This window comes from Homo sapiens, chromosome 14, assembly GCF_000001405.40.
Source record: "Homo sapiens chromosome 14, GRCh38.p14 Primary Assembly".
Classification (NCBI taxonomy): domain Eukaryota; kingdom Metazoa; phylum Chordata; class Mammalia; order Primates; family Hominidae; genus Homo; species Homo sapiens.
The window spans coordinates 53,800,171-53,819,930 of NC_000014.9; the positions used below are offsets into that span (position 1 = coordinate 53,800,171).

Genomic DNA, 19,760 nt, shown 5'->3' on the forward strand with positions numbered 1-19,760 from the left:
GCACTAAATATGGAAAGGAAAAAACAGTACCAGCCACTGCAAAAACATACCAAATTGTAAAGACCATCAACACTATGAAGAAACTGCATCAACTAATGGGCAAAATAACCAGCTAGCATCATAATGACAGGATCAAATTCACACATAACAATATAAACCTTAAATGTAAACAGGCTAAATGCCCCAATTAAAAGACACAGGACTGGCAAATTGGATAAAAGGTCAAGCCCCAATGGTATGCTGTATTCGGGAGACCCATCGCACGTGCAAAGACACACATAGGCTCTAAATAAAGGGATGGAGGAATATTTACCAAGCAAATGAAAAGCAAAAAAAAAAAAAGCAGGGTTTGCAATCCTAGTCGCTGATAAAACAGACTTTAAACCAACAAATCAAAAAAGACAAAGAAGGGCATTACATAGTGATAAAAGGATCAATGCAACAAGAAGAGCTAACTATCCTAAATATATACGCACCCAATACAGGAGCACCCAGATTCATAAAGCAAGTTCTTAGAGACCTACAAAGAGACTTAGACTCCCACACAATAATAGTGGGAGACTTTAACACCCCACTGTCAATATTAGACAGATCAACGAGACAGAAAACTAACAAGTATACCCAGTACATGAACTCGGCTCTGGACCGAGTGGATCTAATAGGCATCTACAGAACTCTCCACCCCAAATCAGCAGAATATATGTTCTTCTCAGCACCACATCACACTTATTCTAAAATTGACCACATAATTGAAAGTAAAACACTCCTCATCACAAGCAAAAGAATGGAAATAATAACAAACAGTCTCTCAGACCACAGTGCAATCAAATTAGAACTCAGGATTAAGAAACTCACTCAAAACCACACAACTACATGGAAACTGAACAACCTGCTCCTGAATGACTACTGGGTAAATAACGAAATGAAGGCAGAAGTAAATAAGTTATTTGAAACCAATGAGAACAAAGACACAACATACTAAAATCTCTGGGATACAGCTAAAGTAGTGGTTAGAGGAAAATTTATAGCACTAAACACCCACAAGGGAAAGGGGGAAAGATCTAAAATCACCACCCTAACATCACAATTAAAAGAACTAGAGGAGCAAGAGCAAACAAATTCAAAAGCTAGGAGAAGACAAGAAATAACCAAGATCAGAGCAGAACTGAAGAAGATAGGGATATGAAAAACTCTTCAAAAAATCAGTGAATACAGGAGCTGGTTTTTTGAAAATATTAACAAAATAGATAGACCACTAGCCAGTCTAATAAAGAAGAAAAGAGAGAAGAATCAAATAGACACAATAAAAAATGATAAAGGGAATGTCACCGCTGATCCCACAGAAATACAAACTACGATCAGAGAATACTATAAACATCTCTATGCAAATAAACTAGAAAATCTAGAAGAAATGGATAAATTCCTGGACACATACACCCTCCCAAGACTAAACCAGGGAGAAGTCGAATCCCTCAATAGAGCAATAACAAGTTTTGAAATTGAGGCAGTAATTAATAGCCTACCAACCAAAAATAGCCTAGGACCAGACAGACTCACAGCCAAATTCTACCAGAGGTACAAAGAGGAGCTGGTACCATTTCTTCTGAAACTATTCCAAAGATTAGAAAAAGAGATACTCCTCCCTAATTCATTTTATGAGGCCAACATCATCCTGATACCAAAACCTGGCAGAGACACAACAAAACAAGAAAATTTCAGGCCAATATCCCTGATGAATATCAATGCGAAAACCCTCAATAAAATACTGGCAAACTGAATCCAGCAGCACATTAAAAAGCTTATTCACCATGATCAAGTTGGCTTCATCCCTGGGATGCAAGGCTGGTTTAACATATGCAAATCAGTAAACGTAATCCATCACATAAACATAACCAATGACAAAAACCAGATGATTGTCTAAATAGATGCGGAAAAGGCCTTTGATAAAATTCAACACCTCTTCATGCTAAAAACTCTCAATAAACTAGGTATCAATGGAACGTATCTCAAAATAATAAGAGCTATTTATAACAAACCCACAGCCAATATCGTCCTGAATAGCAAAAGCTGGAGGCATTCCCTTTGAAAACCAGCACAAGACAAGGATGCCCTCTCTCACCACTCCTATTCAACATAGTATTGGATATTCTGACCAGGGCAATCGGGCAAGAGAAATAAAATGTATTCAAATAGGAAGAGAGGAAGTCAAATTGTCCCTGTTTACAGATGACATGATTGTATATTTAGGAAACCCCATTGTCTCAGCCCAAAATATCCTTCAGCTGATAAGCAACTTCAGCAAAGTCTCAGGATACAAAATCAATGTGTGAAAATCACAAGCATTCCTACACAGCAATAATAGACAAACAGAGAGCCAAATCATGAGTGAATTCCCATTGACAATTGCTACAAAAAGAATAAAATAACTAGGAATACAATTTATAAGGGATGTGAAGGACCTTTTCAAGGAGAACTACAAGCCACTGCTCAAGGAAATAAGAGAGGACACAAACAAATGGAAAAACATTCCATGCTCATGGATAGGAAGAATCAATATCATGAAAATGGCCATACTGCCCAAAGTAATTTATAGATACAATGCTATCCCCATCAAGCTACCATTGACTTTCTTCACAGAATTAGAAAAAAACACTTTAAATTTCATATGGAACCAAAAAAGAGCCCATACAGCCAAGACAATCCTAAGCAAAAATAACAAAGCTGGAGGCATCATGCTACCTGACTTCAAACTATGCTACAAGTCTACAGTAACCAAAAGAGCATGGTACTGGCACCAAAACAGAGATATAGACCAATGGAACAGAACACCGGCCTCAGAAATAACGCCACACATCTACAACCATCTGATCTTTGACAAACCTGACAAAAACAAGCAATGGGGAAAGGCTTTCCTATTTAATAAATGGTGTTAGGAAAACTGGCTAGCCATATACCGAAAACTGAAACTGGACCCCTTCCTTACACCTTATACAAAAATTAACTCAAGATGGATTAAAGACTTAATTGTAAGACCTAAAACATAAAAACCCTAGAAGAAAACCTAGGAAATACCACTCAGGACATACGCATGGGCAAAGACTTCATGACAAACACCAAAAGCAATGGCAACAAACGCCAAAATTGACAGTTGGGGTCCAATTAAACTAAAGAGCTTCTGCACAGCAAAAGAAACTATCATCAGAGTGAATGGGCAACCTACGGAATGGGAGAACATTTTTGCAATCTATCCATCTGACAAAGGGCTAGTATCTAGAATCTACAAGGAACTTAAACAAATTCACAAGAAAAAAAACCAAGCCCATCAAAAAGTGGGCCAAGGATATGAACAGACACTTCTCAAAATAAAACATTTATGTGGCCAACAAACATATGAAAAAAAGCTCATCATCACTGGTCATTAGAGAAATGCAAATCAAAACCACAATGAGATACCATCTCATGCCAGTTAGAATGGCAATCGTTAAAAAGTCAGGAAACAACAGATACTGGAGAGAATGTGGAGAAACAGGAACGCTTTTACACTGTTGGTGGGAGTGTCAATTAGTTCAACCATGTGGAAGACAGTGTGGTGATTCCTCAAGGATCTAGAACCAGAAATACCATTTGACCCAGCAATCCCATGACTGGGTGTATACCCAAAGGATTATAACTCATTCTACTATGAAGACACATGCACACATATGTTTATTGCAGCACTATTCACAATAGCAAAGACTTGGAAGCAACCCAAATGCCCATCAATGATAGACTGGATAAAGAAAATGTGGCACATATACACCATGGAATATGATGCAGCCATGAAAAAGGATGAGTTCATGTCCTTTGCAGGGACATGGATGAAGCTGGAAACCATAATTCTCAGCAAACTGGCACAGGAACAGAAAACCAAACACCACATGTTCTCACTCATAAGTGGGAGTTGAACAATGAGAACACATGGACACAGGGAGGGGAACATCACACACCAGGGCCTGTCAGGGGGTGGGGGGCTAGGGGAGGGATAGCATTAGGAGAAATACCTAATGTAGATGATGGATTGATGAGTGCAGCAAACCACCATGGCACATGTATACCTATGTAACAAACCTGCAGGTTCTGCACATGTATCCCAGAAGTTAAGGTATAATTTTAAAAAATGCAAAATGAATAAAATGTGAATACCATTATTATCATTTTAGAAGTAAAGGCTTGGAGGGTAAGTAACTTTACCAGCATTAGAAATCTGGTACGTGATAAGGGCAGGATTAAAATCCAGGCCAGTTTTAGGCCAGAACCTGATCGTTTCCTCTCATCAAAGGGCTTCTTTGAAAATAGCAACATTGTTACGTAAAATAATATCAAAATATGTACAATTGGAAATAAATATTTCCACTTTTATAATTCTGTCCTTTTTTAATAAAAGATCATATTAATTAATTGAGTCCTTATTTCCAAATGTCAACTCTTATAAACATATGTAAATTACAAAAGCAACTTAGGGTGAGGTTGAAGACAATCAACTTTAGAATGAAGCTTGCCATGGGTTCTACTCCCAATTCCACACCCTAATGGTGTAACCTTTGGTGTAACCTTTGGCAAGTTGCCCAATCTCTGTGTTCCTTGCTTTATCTGTGATAGCAGGGCTCACCTTCTGCAGTAATTGTGAGGCATCCATGAAATCTAATGTGGGCAAAGCACTTGACATATACTACATGCTCAAAAGAGGTGATGTGAACCAAAGCATATGTTTAGCCAGCTTTGGGTGTGTAGGAGAGGAAGATGTATTGCATCCTCTGGACGTTCATAGGTGGGAAGTACCTATGGACAAGGAGGGGCCCTGGATGACACACAGATATGGATATTCCAAATGTAGGATACAGGAAGGTACCTAAACTTGTTGATCAGCAATACCAATATTCGACTCCAATATATGATATATAGGTCTATTTACTCATAGCGTAGAGCCAGGCATACAAATAAGGTATACTCAATTATTAAATCTAAGTGCCTTCTGACTAATAAAATGATTAAATGCCAATGTCTGACTACATTCTATGACTTGAGCATCTAATCTCCAAAGTAGTTACAAATAATTAGATCTAATTCAAATTCACCTAGTCATACGAGTATGTAAGAAGTATAATCTAATTTCACGGCATAAGTGCTATCCTCTCCTCCAAGCCAAACCTTAGTCTGAATCCTTGATGCCCTATTTCATCACTTCCATCCAAATTGGATGGCTGTTCACTACTCTCCAATGGCCTTCGGGTCTTCCCCAGCACTCACCTTCTATCAACATCATCTTCCCTCACCGTAGCTATCCATCTTACTTATCCTTATAAACACAGATCTTTTTATTTCCCACCCAATAATTTTTCTCATTTTCCTTTCCATTAGGTTTAAATGCCTAAAAACTACCAACTCCTATCCATCAGCTCCTTTTCTACCTTTCTCTACAGCCCCTCCTTTGTTTTAACCAACCTCTTCATTAGTCCTTTTGTACTTTTCCTTAACTGTTTATAAATAATACCTCCTATGTGACCTACTCCACAACAAATCACCCGATCTGACTTCTCTCCATCGAAGACCTAAAAATTCCTCTTCTTCTACAAAGTCCTTCAGGGTTAAACCAAAAAAAAATAATAATAATACTTTTTCTTTAACCCAATAACTTACTCATATATTCATCCACCTGAAATTAAAAACAGTTCACTCGGCAAGTTATCTAAATATTAATTTTTTAAAATTACTAGACTTTCCACTTTACTGTCAAGTCTATTAATCCCTGCTATTTTTTTTCTTCTTGTTTTACCCTTTCAACGGGTCTCTTTCTTTTCATTCATGTCATTCATTCGTGTCATACCATTGCTTACTTGTTGTACTCTACATCTGTCCTGTTATAAAATTATTTGGGGTGACTATAAGCTATCTTAGGCAGTGAGCATCTAAAGTATTGTTCCTTAACTAGTACCTCCTAACTCTAAGAGGCATGAAGTCATCTTCAGAGAGAAATATTCACTTCTGCCAACTTCTGAGTAGGAACTTGATGGAGTGTAGACATGGCAGGAAAAAGAGATGTCACAAAGTAAAATCATATCTAAATACACTGTATATGCCTGAACATTAGGCAAAGCTTCCTCAAAACATTACCTCTTAAAACACAGTCACTTCATATTTGAGCCTTTGCCAAATATCTCATAGCATGTGGATGCCATTTAAAGGACTTTTTATAAACAACAAATGCCATTGGATGGAGATTCATTAAGCAAAACAGATATCAATTCTAGGTTTGGAAGCTTGTGGAAGTATTATAATGTGAGCAGATTTTCAAAAGGAAAAAAGTTACTATAGGCTGAGTTATTAATCCTAGGTCTTTGACAATTCTATACATTAGATATCATGTTAATGAGACTTTCAGGATTCACTTAAGTAGTTATATTAAAGGGATCACAGGGTGATATTATTTTTTAAGAAAAAATATAAATTTAATACTATACACATGGGTAGACATGGCTGGGATAAATTTCCAGAAACAGTATTACACATTCAGATTCAAAAAATGAAATAAAAGTAAAGGCAACAGTCTCTAGAAAACTATATTAAGCAATTCAAAAAATAGCTCTCAGAATGACAAAGGCTCTGATGCTCCTTGCCTGTCTCCACGATGCACATGAAGAGTTCAAATAAAAATGATCTTGTCAAATGTGAACTCAAAAAATTGGTTCTAAAATACTATATCATTATATAGAAGATGTGATTTTAATCATGTGAGATTAAATTAATGCACTAAATATCATAAGTAAATATTTAACTGAACAATATCCATTACTCTTACCATATTAAGCTAGCCAAAAGGCTTCTTTGGGGATTAGATCATGAGAAAAATGGTGTCTCACCATATATTGAGGTTGGCCTTACTTTCGGGCACCCATGGGGAGCATGACTACACATAATGTGGGTGGGGGTGGAAGGTTTGGAATGGACAGACAGCTGGATGAGGGGCTGGCTCAGGAAAAAAGAATGGTGACATATTTTCTTATTTTTTCACAGCAAGGTCACAAGTGTGTCCTGTACTAAGAAATATTGGGACACTCTGGTCTGGAGGACAAGAACTAATTCACTTGAGCTCATTTTGTTCCATTCTCAGAACGGCTAGTGCTCATGGAATATTATTCATTGATGGTTAGGATGTGCCATGAGACTGTCGACTGCAGTATCTTTCTAATTTGTTACATAACAAAAGAATGGAATCTGAAAAACACAAAAAGTGGAGAAATGTTCAGCATACTAAAATCATATGTGATACATATTTAACCCTCTTTACAAGTTTCTCTAGCTAGTTCTTTAAACCCACTGTTGGGCTTTTTCCCAGATAAAAGGCCTCCTTTTGTTGAACAATTTCAATGTATAGTCACATTTTGAATTGTTGCCAGGTAAAATTCTTGCATTAGGCTCCATGGCTGTCTGTTCCACCAAGACAAATAAGAACTGACCCAACCCCTCATTTGAGTACATTGTTCACGGTGCTGAGCAGTGATTTTCCATATCTGACTGCCTTTGTGTTCACCCCAGGAGGAAGGGTGAGCCTGGTTTATTGAGTTCTCATTTCTCACAAAGCAGCAACATCTGGAGGGCTGAGCAGTTTCTTGGCAGGTCCAGCCCGAAGGAATTGGGCCATGGTTCTGATTGGCGCTTATCAGTAGGTGTCACTAAAGACAGCTTCAGAGACAGAAAAATAAATAGGCCAATTAAGCAATGCCAAGAACAAACCATTTTATAGTCATCTCTGCTCTTTTTATTGTTATTCCAACTGCAGAAGCTTCAAGATTCTAATTATTCCCTGGCTTTTTCCCCGCCACTGCAAATGAACATTTTTCCATCTTCCAAGTATCTCCCTTTAGATTTTAAAGAGTGAGACATTTAATTAATATACTTATTTTGTGGTGCCTGATATAGTGAGTTAGCAAAATGAAAACAGATGAAGAAGATTAATTCTAACACTTTATTGCAATGAAGCTCCAGCCACTGCTCATCTGCAAACTGGCTGATTCATGCCTCACCAGCTACTTTCTCTCTGCAATATGAGACACTCAGCATATTAGGGAGCATGAGTGCATCTCACCCAGCCATGCTTTTGTGTCCCCAGAGGATGCAAGCATAGAAACTTTGGTGTGAGACCACATATTTCTGAGAAGCTTGGAGGGGGATCTTCCAGGCTGCTTCCAGGAGAGGGGCCAGACTTGTCCACAGTGGTCAGTCACAGTCAATGAAGCTCATTGGCTTTATTTTTGGTGACTAAGGTTTTTCTACCTGCAAAGACAGAAACTCAGTGGGGAACTCTAAATTTGATCTCCAAATCCAAGCGACACCACAAAACTAAGCATAGCTAAATGAGAAAAACAAGTTGGGAAACATTCAAATAGATGGACTTAATTGGTAAAATAAGCTGTGGACAATACATGGGCATGGGTCCCAGTGCCAGCACATTTGTAGCACATGGCAGATGCCCCAGACAATGTTGATGAAATGAATGAGGGATCTGCCAACTTAGAATATCAATAAACTGTTCTGTAAGGATCACAGATAGCTATGTGATAGAGGCTGTATATATGATCCTTATAGAACAGTTTATTGATATTCTAAGTTGAACAGTATGTGTGCTGTAGAACACTGTGTGTGCTAAATTTGCAAGCATTTTGATGGGTGCTTTTGTTCTTTCTAATTTTAAGAATATCCCCACTTCATCTGGTGGGTAGATTCTTGGGTTTAAAGACCAAACCAAATATTTTTAATTCCAAATTACTTACAATTACAAATGTAAAGGTAAATGACAACTAATAATAATAGCAGCTGTCATTTATTGAGTACTTTCTTTGTGCCACACTAAGTTCTGTATATTATTTCACGTAATTTCACAGCTCTAAAAGAGAGATGTGATTATTATCCCCATTCTACGTATGAGAAAACTGAGACCTAGCCCTGTTAAGTTATTTGTTCAAGAGGATACAGCTAGAAAATTGTAGAGCCAGGTTTAAGACAAGTCTGTCTGACTCCAAACCTGTTCCCTTAAGTGAGTACTTTACAACCTTCTCTTCTAACATGGAATTATTAGTAGTGAATAGCGGGTATATTTGGAGGAGGGAAAAATGGAGAGTGATAGCGAATGAGTGAGGTTTAAGTCTATACTGTGGGATTTATTACTGGGATGTTGGTGTTTAATACATGCTGGGCACAAGAAGGCATTTCTTGTTGCCATGCCTGAGAGTTGTTTATATTCAGAGCACTGTTATCTAGCCCCCAGACTTAACAATGAATGGCTAGTGGCCCAAATTTTTGCCATGAACATTCTTCCCTTTTCATCTTTCTGCAATTTTAGACTCCCAAGTCCAAGCTACAAGATGTCATTTTCCTCTGTTGAATATAGTTACCAAATTATACAGGCCATAAATCTACATTTTTTTGTTCTCCAAAAAAAAAAAAATGTTTTTGTGAATTGAAAACTACATACCAGAACGCAGAACCCAGTGGCCCCAGGATATTCCCACATCCACAGTCCCTCTACACAGAACCCACAGAGAATTCTACAATAAAAATGTTGAAAGCCAATCTTGCACTCCTATTTTAGGTTGAAAATTTCAAAATCTAAAGGAGCACATATGCAGCTAAAAAATAACAAAAGTATTTCTCACACATTTTCATAGATTTCATTATTTGCTGACTACCAGAATACTTAGTGTTTAAAGGATTTTTTCAGAAATATTATATCCTCTAGCAAGGCATAACATGTCCACCATCGACTTACTCCACCATGCTTCAAAGAATATTGCTTGTCTATTATCACAGATAAGGAAGATCCTTATGAAATTTTATTTGTAACAGGATTATGTTCAGAAAACTAGGTCTGCAGGTTAATTCTTCACACCTTTATGGGTCATCCTGATGTCAAGTAGGGGGTGAGTATTTAGTGGGTGATTATCATCCTTTTGTGAAGGTTCATAATATGTTTTATCCAGATGAATCAAAATATAGGGAAGGATTCAGTAAGGGTATACCTTGTCAGTCATAACAAAAGAATTTAGAACAAGCTTTGCTAGAAGCTCTGATCCTCGAAGATTCATTTATAAAACCCAGATCTGCAGACATTGAAGTGTCCTATTCATAATCCTTGCCTTCAAGATCAGCACACAATTACAATAAAAGCAAGACGAGTGTTACAAAAGATTCGTCTTCGAAGGAATGAAAAAGATCTCCACTAGAGGCATCAGGAGAGGCTTTTTCTACAGAGGTTGCCTTTGAAATCGTCCTTGAAAGATATGGAGAATTCATTGTTGAAAAGTAAATAAAATGGAACAGCATTAAGGAGCGGTCAAGCAAAAACTGCAGAACATATTGGGAGATGCATATAACTTAGTAAGAATGGGTTTGGAGATTGGGCTCAAAACGATGTTGGCTAGTGAGCCTTGAAGGCGGACTGAGAATTCTGCACATAGATCATTAGGCAGAGGGGAGCTATTGAAGTTTGTAAGATGAAAGTGCAGTCAGATCAATCCCAAGCTTCTGGATAAATCTGACAGCAATGTCTTACATGAGAAGCAAAGATGGCAGAAAGGAGTGAAGGCTGTGGATCTGTTAGGTTGCTATTGCAGCAATATAGATATTAGGGCCTGGAAAATGATACATTTTAGTAAACCTTGGAAGAAGGAAACACAGAGGTAGAATCTACGTGGAGACTCCCCAACTAATTGCTTGGGGCAGCGATGGTACTGCTTAAGGAAAATAAGGGAGGGAACAAAGGTTTTGAATTGGTGATAGAAAAGATGGTGGCTCTGTTATTAGAAATGAGAAAGTCAGGAGGAGAGCAAGATTTTCCATGGGTAGAAGTCACAGAGTTTAACTTGGATCATAGATGGTTCAATTGCCATTAGTACATGCATAGGCATTTTGAATGGGTCTAGAATTTGACCCTGGGGTTATAAACGTGGAATCTCCTACCTCAGCAGTAGCAATAGAAGCCATGGAAGCTAGTCAATCTTCAGGAAATAGTCGATGCAGAAGGTGACCTTGTATGGGCAGGGAGGCAAAATACCAGAAGATTGTGACGGTAAACAGAAACAAAACAAAACAAAAGAGTACAGTAACAGAAACCTGGATTCAAATCCAGACCCTGTCTCTTAGGAGCCATGTGGACTTCAAGAGTCTTTTTTGAGAATTAAATAAGATGTATATATAAAGCAACAGTAAAAGTTTTAAAAATCCAATTAAAAACTGAGTGAAAGACAGTTGATCCGAGAGAATGTACAGATGGCAAATAAACACATGAAAAGATATTCAAGTTCTTTAGCCATTAGGGAAGTATAAATTCAAACCACAATGAGCTATCGCTATGCACCTATCAGAATGGCTAAAACAAGAAATAGTGACAACATCATAAAAGCAGGCAAACTACATCACTTATATGTTATTACTGGCAGGAATGGACAATGGTACAGCCACCCTGGAACACAGTTTGTCAGTTTCTTTAAAAAATACATGCAACTACCATATAACCTTGCAATTGTACTCCTGGGCATCTACCCCACAGAAATAAACACTTACATTCACAAATATTCATAGCAGCTTTATTCATAATAGCCCAAAACTGGAAACAGCCCAGATGCACTTTAACAGGTAAATGGTAAGACAAACCATGGTACATCCGTACCGTGAAATATTACTCAGCAATGTAAAGGAACAAACTACTAATACATGAAACAATTTGAATGAGTACTCAGAGAATTATGTTGAGTGAACAAAGTCAATCTCAACAAGTTACATACTGTATGATTCCATTTATATAACATGCATGAAATGACAAAATTATAGAAATCAATTAGTGATTGACGGTGATTTCCAGTGGTTAAGAAGAGAGTTGGAATGGGAAGGTTGTGGTTGTAGCTACATAAAAGAGCAAAATAAGAGATGGCTGCAGTGATGGAAATCTTCTGTATTTTGCCTGCATTAATGTCACAATCCTGGTTGTGACATTGTATGATAGTTTTGCAAGATATATCCATTGGAGAAACAGTGAAGTGTACATAAGATCTCCCTGTCTTACAACTGAATGTAAATCGATAATTATTTCAAAATAAAACATTTAATTACAAAAAACTTAATTCAGTTATCCTCCCATATTTAGGTGAGATTCTGTGGAGAATCACTATATGTTAAATGCTCTTTGAAAGAGGGGAAGGAAACAGGAAAGAAGGAGGAGAGAAAAGAAGAGAGGGAGGGAAAAAGGGATGGTTGGGAGGGATAGGAAAAATGGAAGAGAAAAAAATAGAAATGGATTTTGCAAAAAATTACCAGATCATTCTTCAAAAAATCTGGGGGAAATGGAGGCAGGAAGAATAGCTAGGAGTTTCCAATAGGGTTCTAGGAGGTGAAATATGATATATTTGATAACGGAGAAGAAACTGAACCCTTACCAACAAAGAGCATAAACCTACTGAATGTGAACTCAAGAATTCCTCTTGGCACGAAGTCCCTGGAGTGTCCAAGAAAAATTAATGGCCCACGGGGTATAATTTTGCAAATTTAAAAGTTAAAATGAAATCTCCCTATCTGTTCCAGCACATGTGTGTCCTTGCAACATGATATTTATGATGTGAATTGGGCTGATTAAATCCATTTTAGGGTTCAGGGATTTGCACAACCTAAATATCCTGGTTCTCAGGGAATGAAGAGCTTCATATTTCCTTTGCATATTTACTCTTAATGACATCAATAGGAAGCTGTTAGTGATAAGGAGAACTTGGCTTGGGAGATTGGGGGGTGGGAAATTTAGCTATGCACAGTCGAATGTCAACCTGAATACAGGACTCCTCAGCCATGATTTCATGAAACCTCTTTTATGAGCCCCCACCTGGGACTTTCATACACAGATGGTATATATCTGAAAGCTTGACATGAGAGGTTTCTCAGAGTTAGTAAACACAGAAGTGATGGATGCTAGAGATAGAGTAAACCTCATCATGGAATCTGGAGGAAGGCAACATTCCTGCTGGAGACTAAAAAGGAAATGGCAAATTAACCAGTGAATTAGACTCAATGCTGAAACCAAAGATCATTACACATGCCAAGCCCAAACTCATAACCAAAACTTACAAAGTAAAACACAATAGGAAAAATTATTATCCTCCTGCAAAGTCAGCTCTGGTAGACCTTATACAACTTAGTAACCCCCTGAAATAAACAGATCTTGTTTTAAAAGGAGCCAAAGAAAGGTCCAGGCAATATATTATCTTCACTCTGGGCAACTCCTATTGGACAGGATTTTGCACCTCTCTGTACAGACCTAGCAAATCTTTGGGTGAGGAATCTCCCATGAAGCTGGAATTGTCAGACTGCTTGTTTCTCTTTATTAATATCAGACTGGAATTACAGTAACAGGCCAAATAATGATGTAAAACCCAAAAGGAAGAATGCTGCTAATTGCCAGATTTGTTATGGAATTACCACATTTCTGTTTCAGTGCTAACTTTTGGGAGATGCATTGAATGAAAGCTCGAAAGAAACCATAGATCAACGTCAGTCATTAATATTGAGGTGGAAAAAATTCAGAAGGCAAGCCTGTAAGCTTGGGCATTTGATACGTCAACATAGACACCTTTGTGGAGAACAATCAATAGAAACATATTTGCTGCTGAGCACAGTAATGAACAAAATTTCTGCATATAAACTTGAAAGTATAATGGATGTATAGATGGCAAAAATCTGGTTCTTCTCTAAAGAATTACGTAAGTCTTTTATTAAGATTCATTTCTGTCTTGACCTCCAACCTGTCACTGCTTCCTTTCTGCCTTTCATGTTTTCTCACCTTGATGCAAGTCAAAATACTGTCTTGCTATAGTGCTGACATTTTATTTTAGGTAACTGTATAGTTTAACTTTGCTCACCACCATTCTTAACATATGGAAACAATTAATTCATTTTCTTTGCCATCATTAGGATTGCAAACCTAGGATATTCTACATGTAACCTCATCACAGATTTCCCTTAACTAATTACATAATATCCAACCCATTTTCTTAAAAGTAAAACTTGCTAGTTAAGGAATAAAGAAACAGCATTGCTTATAATAAACTCTGCATGTTACAGTGTAATTTAAACTGTACTGTTATGTATGGTGAAGGGCTGAAAGTTTAGAGTTCCTCCTCTTGGTAAAGGTTTTTTTTTTTTTTTTTAAGGGTTGCTTAAATAAGCAGTACAGAAACCAGATGTCATTTGGTAAGAGTATCTGAATGACCAAAAATTTGCTGTCTGGGTATTTTTTCCTTTATAAAAACAAGAAAAATTCTTTGGATTTATATCATATTTAGCAGCTGTGAAACAGTGCAAACATCTGTTTGTACCTATGGGGAGCTGACCCGCGGGGCCCTCATCTCTTAATCACCAAGCATCAAGCCAGTCTCACATGCACAGTTTATTGTTTTCTTTGCCGTTGCCTCCCACACTTCAAAGTTTTCATACACTCATGTTCTATTGGCAGAATGGAGAAACTAACCCATTCATTATAAGACCAGATGATTAGAATTTTTTGACGCATGATCACAGCATTCTCTCCACCAAGCCCATGTCCAGAAACACATTCATATTTGCCTCTAAATTCATTTTGGAGTGTCTACACTTACTCCAAATAATGCAAGATTTATGAGCCTCAAGCAAGCTTGTAGTAGCACATACACTAGACTGCACAAGACTTACCGTCACCATTTGGGGCCACAACCTTTAAAAGGCCATCTTAAAATAATTTGTCCCTTTTTAGGTATGAGTACAGACATTATACTACATCTTATTTTGGAGTTTTTCTTTTAGGATTTTGCTACAGTTTTTTTTTTTTTAAGAGCAATAACAACAACAACAAAGCCTTTGCCGCACTTGCACATCCAGGGAATATCAGTTTCTAAAGGCCAACATTTTCACTGCACTTTATAAATAGGAAAAGTATGCTGGATTGGAATTGAAGTTTGCCAGGTCAAATCAGCAGTTTTATTTATGCATTCACATTAAAAAAAAGTCTGCCAAATAAAGCATTCCTGTTGCAAAAAAGGTAAGAATCAGCTTCAGTTTCCTATACTTATAAAAACTAGTTAAAACAAGGTCTCATTACAATTACTTCCATTACAAAAAATTATATGTTCTATATATCAATTTTATTTATGAAAATGATCCAATCATTAAAATACTCTATTAATAGGGGAATAATGTTATCTGTAACAATTGACTTTTGATCAATGAATGCCTTCAGTCGCCCCTATTTCTATAACAGACATTCTCTACACTACGTGCTATTTGCATTGCACTGTGGAATCAAAGAGGAGGTCATATTATAGCTGTACTCTCACCATATAGAAACTACATTTTGTTGGTTTCTCTGTTTTATGCATTCTGACCACCTCCATAGAATGGAGTGAGAGGGGAATGTACCCAACAAATTAAAGCCATAGGAATAGCTAGGAACTTGAAGCAAGATGCTAAGGTAAAAACCACATGCACAACACCTCCTTTATTATCCTGCTGAGTTCAAAGCACTTCTGTAACTTGATAAGACACTAAAGAAAAACTAGACCTTTATAGTAGAATGATTTATAATCCTTTGGGTATATACCCAGTCATGGGATTGCTGGGTCAAATGGTATTTCTGGTTCTAGATCCTTGAGGAATCGCCACACTGTCTTACACAATGGTTGAACTAATTTATACTCGCACCAACAGTATAAGAGCGTTCCTATTTCCCCACATCCTCTCCAGGATCTGTTGTTTCCTGACTTTTTAATGATGGCCATTCTAACTGGCATGAGACGGTATCTCATTGTGGTTTTGATTTGCATTTCTCTAACGAACAGTGATGATGAACTATTTTTCGTGTTTATTGGCCACATAAATGTCTGCTTTTGAGAAGTGTCTGTTCATATACTTGGCCCACTTTTTGAAGGGCTTGTTTTTTTTTTGTAAGTTTGTTTGAGTTCCTTGTAGATTCTGGATATTAGCTCTTTGTCAGATGGATAGATTGCAAAAATGTTCTCCCACTCTGTAGGTTGCCTGGTCGCTCTGATGACAGTTTATTTTGCTGTGCAGAAGCTCTTTAGTTTAATTAGATCCCAATTGTCAATTTTGGCTTTTGTTGCCGTTGCTTTTGGTGTTTTAGTCATGAAGTCTTTGCCCATGCCTATGTCTTGAATGGTATTGCCTAGGTTTTCTTTTAGGGTTTTTATGGTTTTAGGTCTTACATTTAAGTCTTTAATGCATCTTGAGTTAATTTTTGTATAAGGTGTAAGGAAGGGGTCCAGTTTCAGTTTTCCGCATATGGCTAGCCAGTTTTCCCAACACCATTTATTAAATAGGTAATCCTTTCCCCATTGCTTGTGTTTGTCAGGTTTGTCAAAGATCAGATTGTTGTAGATGTGTGGCATTATTTCTGAGGCCGCTGTTCCATTCCATTGGTCTATGTATCTGTTTTGGTGCCAGTACCATGCTCTTTTGGTTACTGTAGCCTTGTAGTATAGTTTGAAGTCAGGTAGCGTGATGCCTCCAGCTTTGTTCTTTTTGCTTAGGATTGTCTTGGCTGTATGGGCTCTTTTTTGGTTCCATATGAAATTTAAAGCAGTTTTTTTCTAATTCTGTGAAGAAAGTCAGTGGTTGCTTGATGGGGATAGCATTGAATCTATGTATGTTTATTGTGGCACTGTTCACAATAGCAAAGACTTGGAACCAACCCAAATGTCCATCAATGATAGAATGGATTAAGAAAATGTGGCACATATACACCATGGAATACTATGCAACCATAAAAAAGGATGAGTTTATGTCCTTTGCAGGGACATGGATGAAGCTGGAAACCATCATTCTCAGCAAACTAACATAGGAACAGAAAACCAAACACCGAATGTTCTGACTCATAATTGGGAGTTGAACAATGAGAACACATGAACACAGGGAGGGGAACGTCACACACTGGGACCTGTCAGTGGTTGGGAGTGCTAGGGGAGGGATAGCATTAGGAGAAATAGCTAATATAGATGATGCGTTGATGAGGGCAGCGAACCACCATGGCACGTATATACCTATGTAACAAACCTGTACGTTCTGCACATGTATCCCAGAACTTGAAGTATAATTAAAAAGAAAAAAAAGAGTTCTTAAAGACTAGACCTTGGATTTGTCTCATCTTTATAAGCAGTATGGTCTAATGTACATTTTCTGAATCTGGGAATCATGAAACAAGACTAACACCCAAGATACCAATAATTGTTCCTGGGTGGGGGAAAAAAGGCTTCATGGTCAATTAAACTTGGGAAACACTCATAGAATGCCCCCTTTTTTGGATAAACACAAAGCCTATTAGCAAATTAAAGTCCCTATGAACTATTGCAGTAAAGGCATCTTACATAATTATTTGTAAAACATTAGGAAAACTTTTAAGACATAAGAAGATGTAAAGAATGATAAAATAAACCCACCTAGCAACTTACAAAAGAAATATTACAAATACAGTTGGCACCTCTGTGTACCCCTCTCTCATCATACCTGTTCCCTCTCTCTGAGGTAACAAAATTCTGAATGTTGTATAAATGGTTCATGCAGTTACTAATATCTTTATTACCTTTCCATATATACCTAAACAAAAGGTATACTTTGTTTGTTTGTTTGTTTATTTTTTGAGACGGAGTCTCGCACTGTCGCCCAGGCTGGAATTCAATGGCATGATCTTGGCTCACTGCAAGCTCTGCCTCCCAGGTTCAAGCGATTCTCCTCCCTCAGCCTCCCAAGTAGCTGGGACTACAGGCACCAGCCACAATGCTCGGCTAATTTTTTGTAGTTTTAGTAGAGACAGGGTTTCACCATGTTGACCAGGCTGGTCTCGTATTCCTGACCTCAGGTGATCCACCCACCTCGGCCTCCCAAAGTGCCGGGATTAAGGTATACTGTTTTTTACGGTTTTAATTTTACAAAAATGGTATCATGCTCTAGGTATTATTTTGATAATTCTTTTGAGGAGAGGAGCTCAACATTATATTTATGAGATTTTAATGTATGTAGCTCGAGTTTATTTTTACTGTTGTGTAGTACTTAGTTGTACATATATACCACAATTTATTTATCTAGTCTTCTCTTGAGTATTTAGATTGTTTTTTTTTCAATTACAAATAGTACTGGTATTGGCATATGTGCAGACAGAATAACCGAATGTCACAGTATAGAGAGGCCAGAACAGATCACTAATGTGTAGAAATTCCACAGATGATGGAGGAGACTCCTGAAAGTCTGTGATCAAATGTTGCAGGGGCAATTATTTATCCATATGGGAAAAAAATTAAACTAGATCTTTACCTCACACTATAGCTCCAAATCAGTTCCAGGTATATTATCATCAGTTCTAGGTATATTGTATATTGACTAAATGTAAAAAGCAAAACAGGCCGGGTGTGGTGGCTCACGCCTGTAATCCCAGCACTTTGGGAGTCCGAGGCGGGTGAATCACTTGAGGTCAGGAGTTCGAGACCAGCCTGCCCAACATGGTGAAACCCCGTCTCTACTAAAAATACAAAAAATAAGCTGACCTGGTGGCTGGCGACTGTTATCCCAGCTACTCAGGAGGCTGAGGCAGGAGAATAGCTTGAACCCCAGAGGCGGAAGTTGCAGTGAGCTGAGATCTCGGCACTGCACTCAAGCCTGGGCGACAAGAGCGAAACTCCATCTCAAAAAACACACAAAAAAAGCAAAACATTGAATTTCTAGTAGAAAATATATGACACTATATGAGAGTATGGAGGAATTCCTAAAACAAAACACTAAAAGTGTATACTATGAAAAAAGCATTAATAAATTAATCAACCACTCAATTAATAACTTCTGTTCATCAAAAGACACTGTATAAAAGTAAAAAGACACTGTATAAAAGTAAAAAGACACTGTATAAAAGTAAAAAGACAAGGCTCAGAATGAGGAAAGATATTTACAAAACACATAACTAATAACGAGTTAAATCAAGAATGTTTTTAAAAAATACTTTAAAATTTAAACCAGGATTGTCTAAATTACTTGACCCTTCCTCAGAAGAATACTTGTTGACATCTCATTAAAAAATAAAAGATTACGTGAGGCACAATTTAGGAAAAATTTATATTATGGCAAAAGCAACAAACTTGGAAAAGACCTTGGTTTAGGTCTCCACCCAGCTCTTTATTCTTCAGCAATGTGACACTAGACAAACAATTTGCTAATCTGAGCCTTGATGTTTCATTTATGATATGGAAATTAGCTCTATTCTGGGTATACAAAACTAAATATCATGGAAATATGGAAACTCAGCTAACAGTCACAAAGCCACATTAAAATGACCTACAACTCCTTGCAGTGACCTCTTAGAAATCCTTTAACTTTACAAACAGTAGCAAGAGATACCTTAGGGGTTAGGTAGAAAAAGAATCAATTCTGGGCAAATTTTGTCTGAAAGATTTTCTATTCTTAGGAAAATTTCTTCTCATGGTACTTATTCAAATTCTCACTACCAAATACTACCATTGTAGATAGCAAAATAAAAAGAACAAAACACCCCTGAGGTTGGAACTTAGCTAAACTTTCAAACAAAGTATTGCTGTTTAACTATTTCCTGACATCTACATTTAGGCCACATAGATATGGCCACAATGCTCATGAGAAATAAGTTGAGAGTAGGAAACATAAGTAAAGGAAGCAAAAATAAATTTATTACGATTTTC

The 19,760-nt window shown here is 37.3% G+C and overlaps 1 long non-coding RNA gene across 10 annotated transcripts in view; it reads right to left on the minus strand.

Annotated features, from left to right (window-relative positions):
- LINC02331 (long intergenic non-protein coding RNA 2331) overlaps positions 1 to 19,760 on the minus strand; it is a 165,830-nt gene that overhangs the window by 115,174 nt on the left and 30,896 nt on the right. The gene's annotated exons all lie outside the window — the stretch shown is intronic.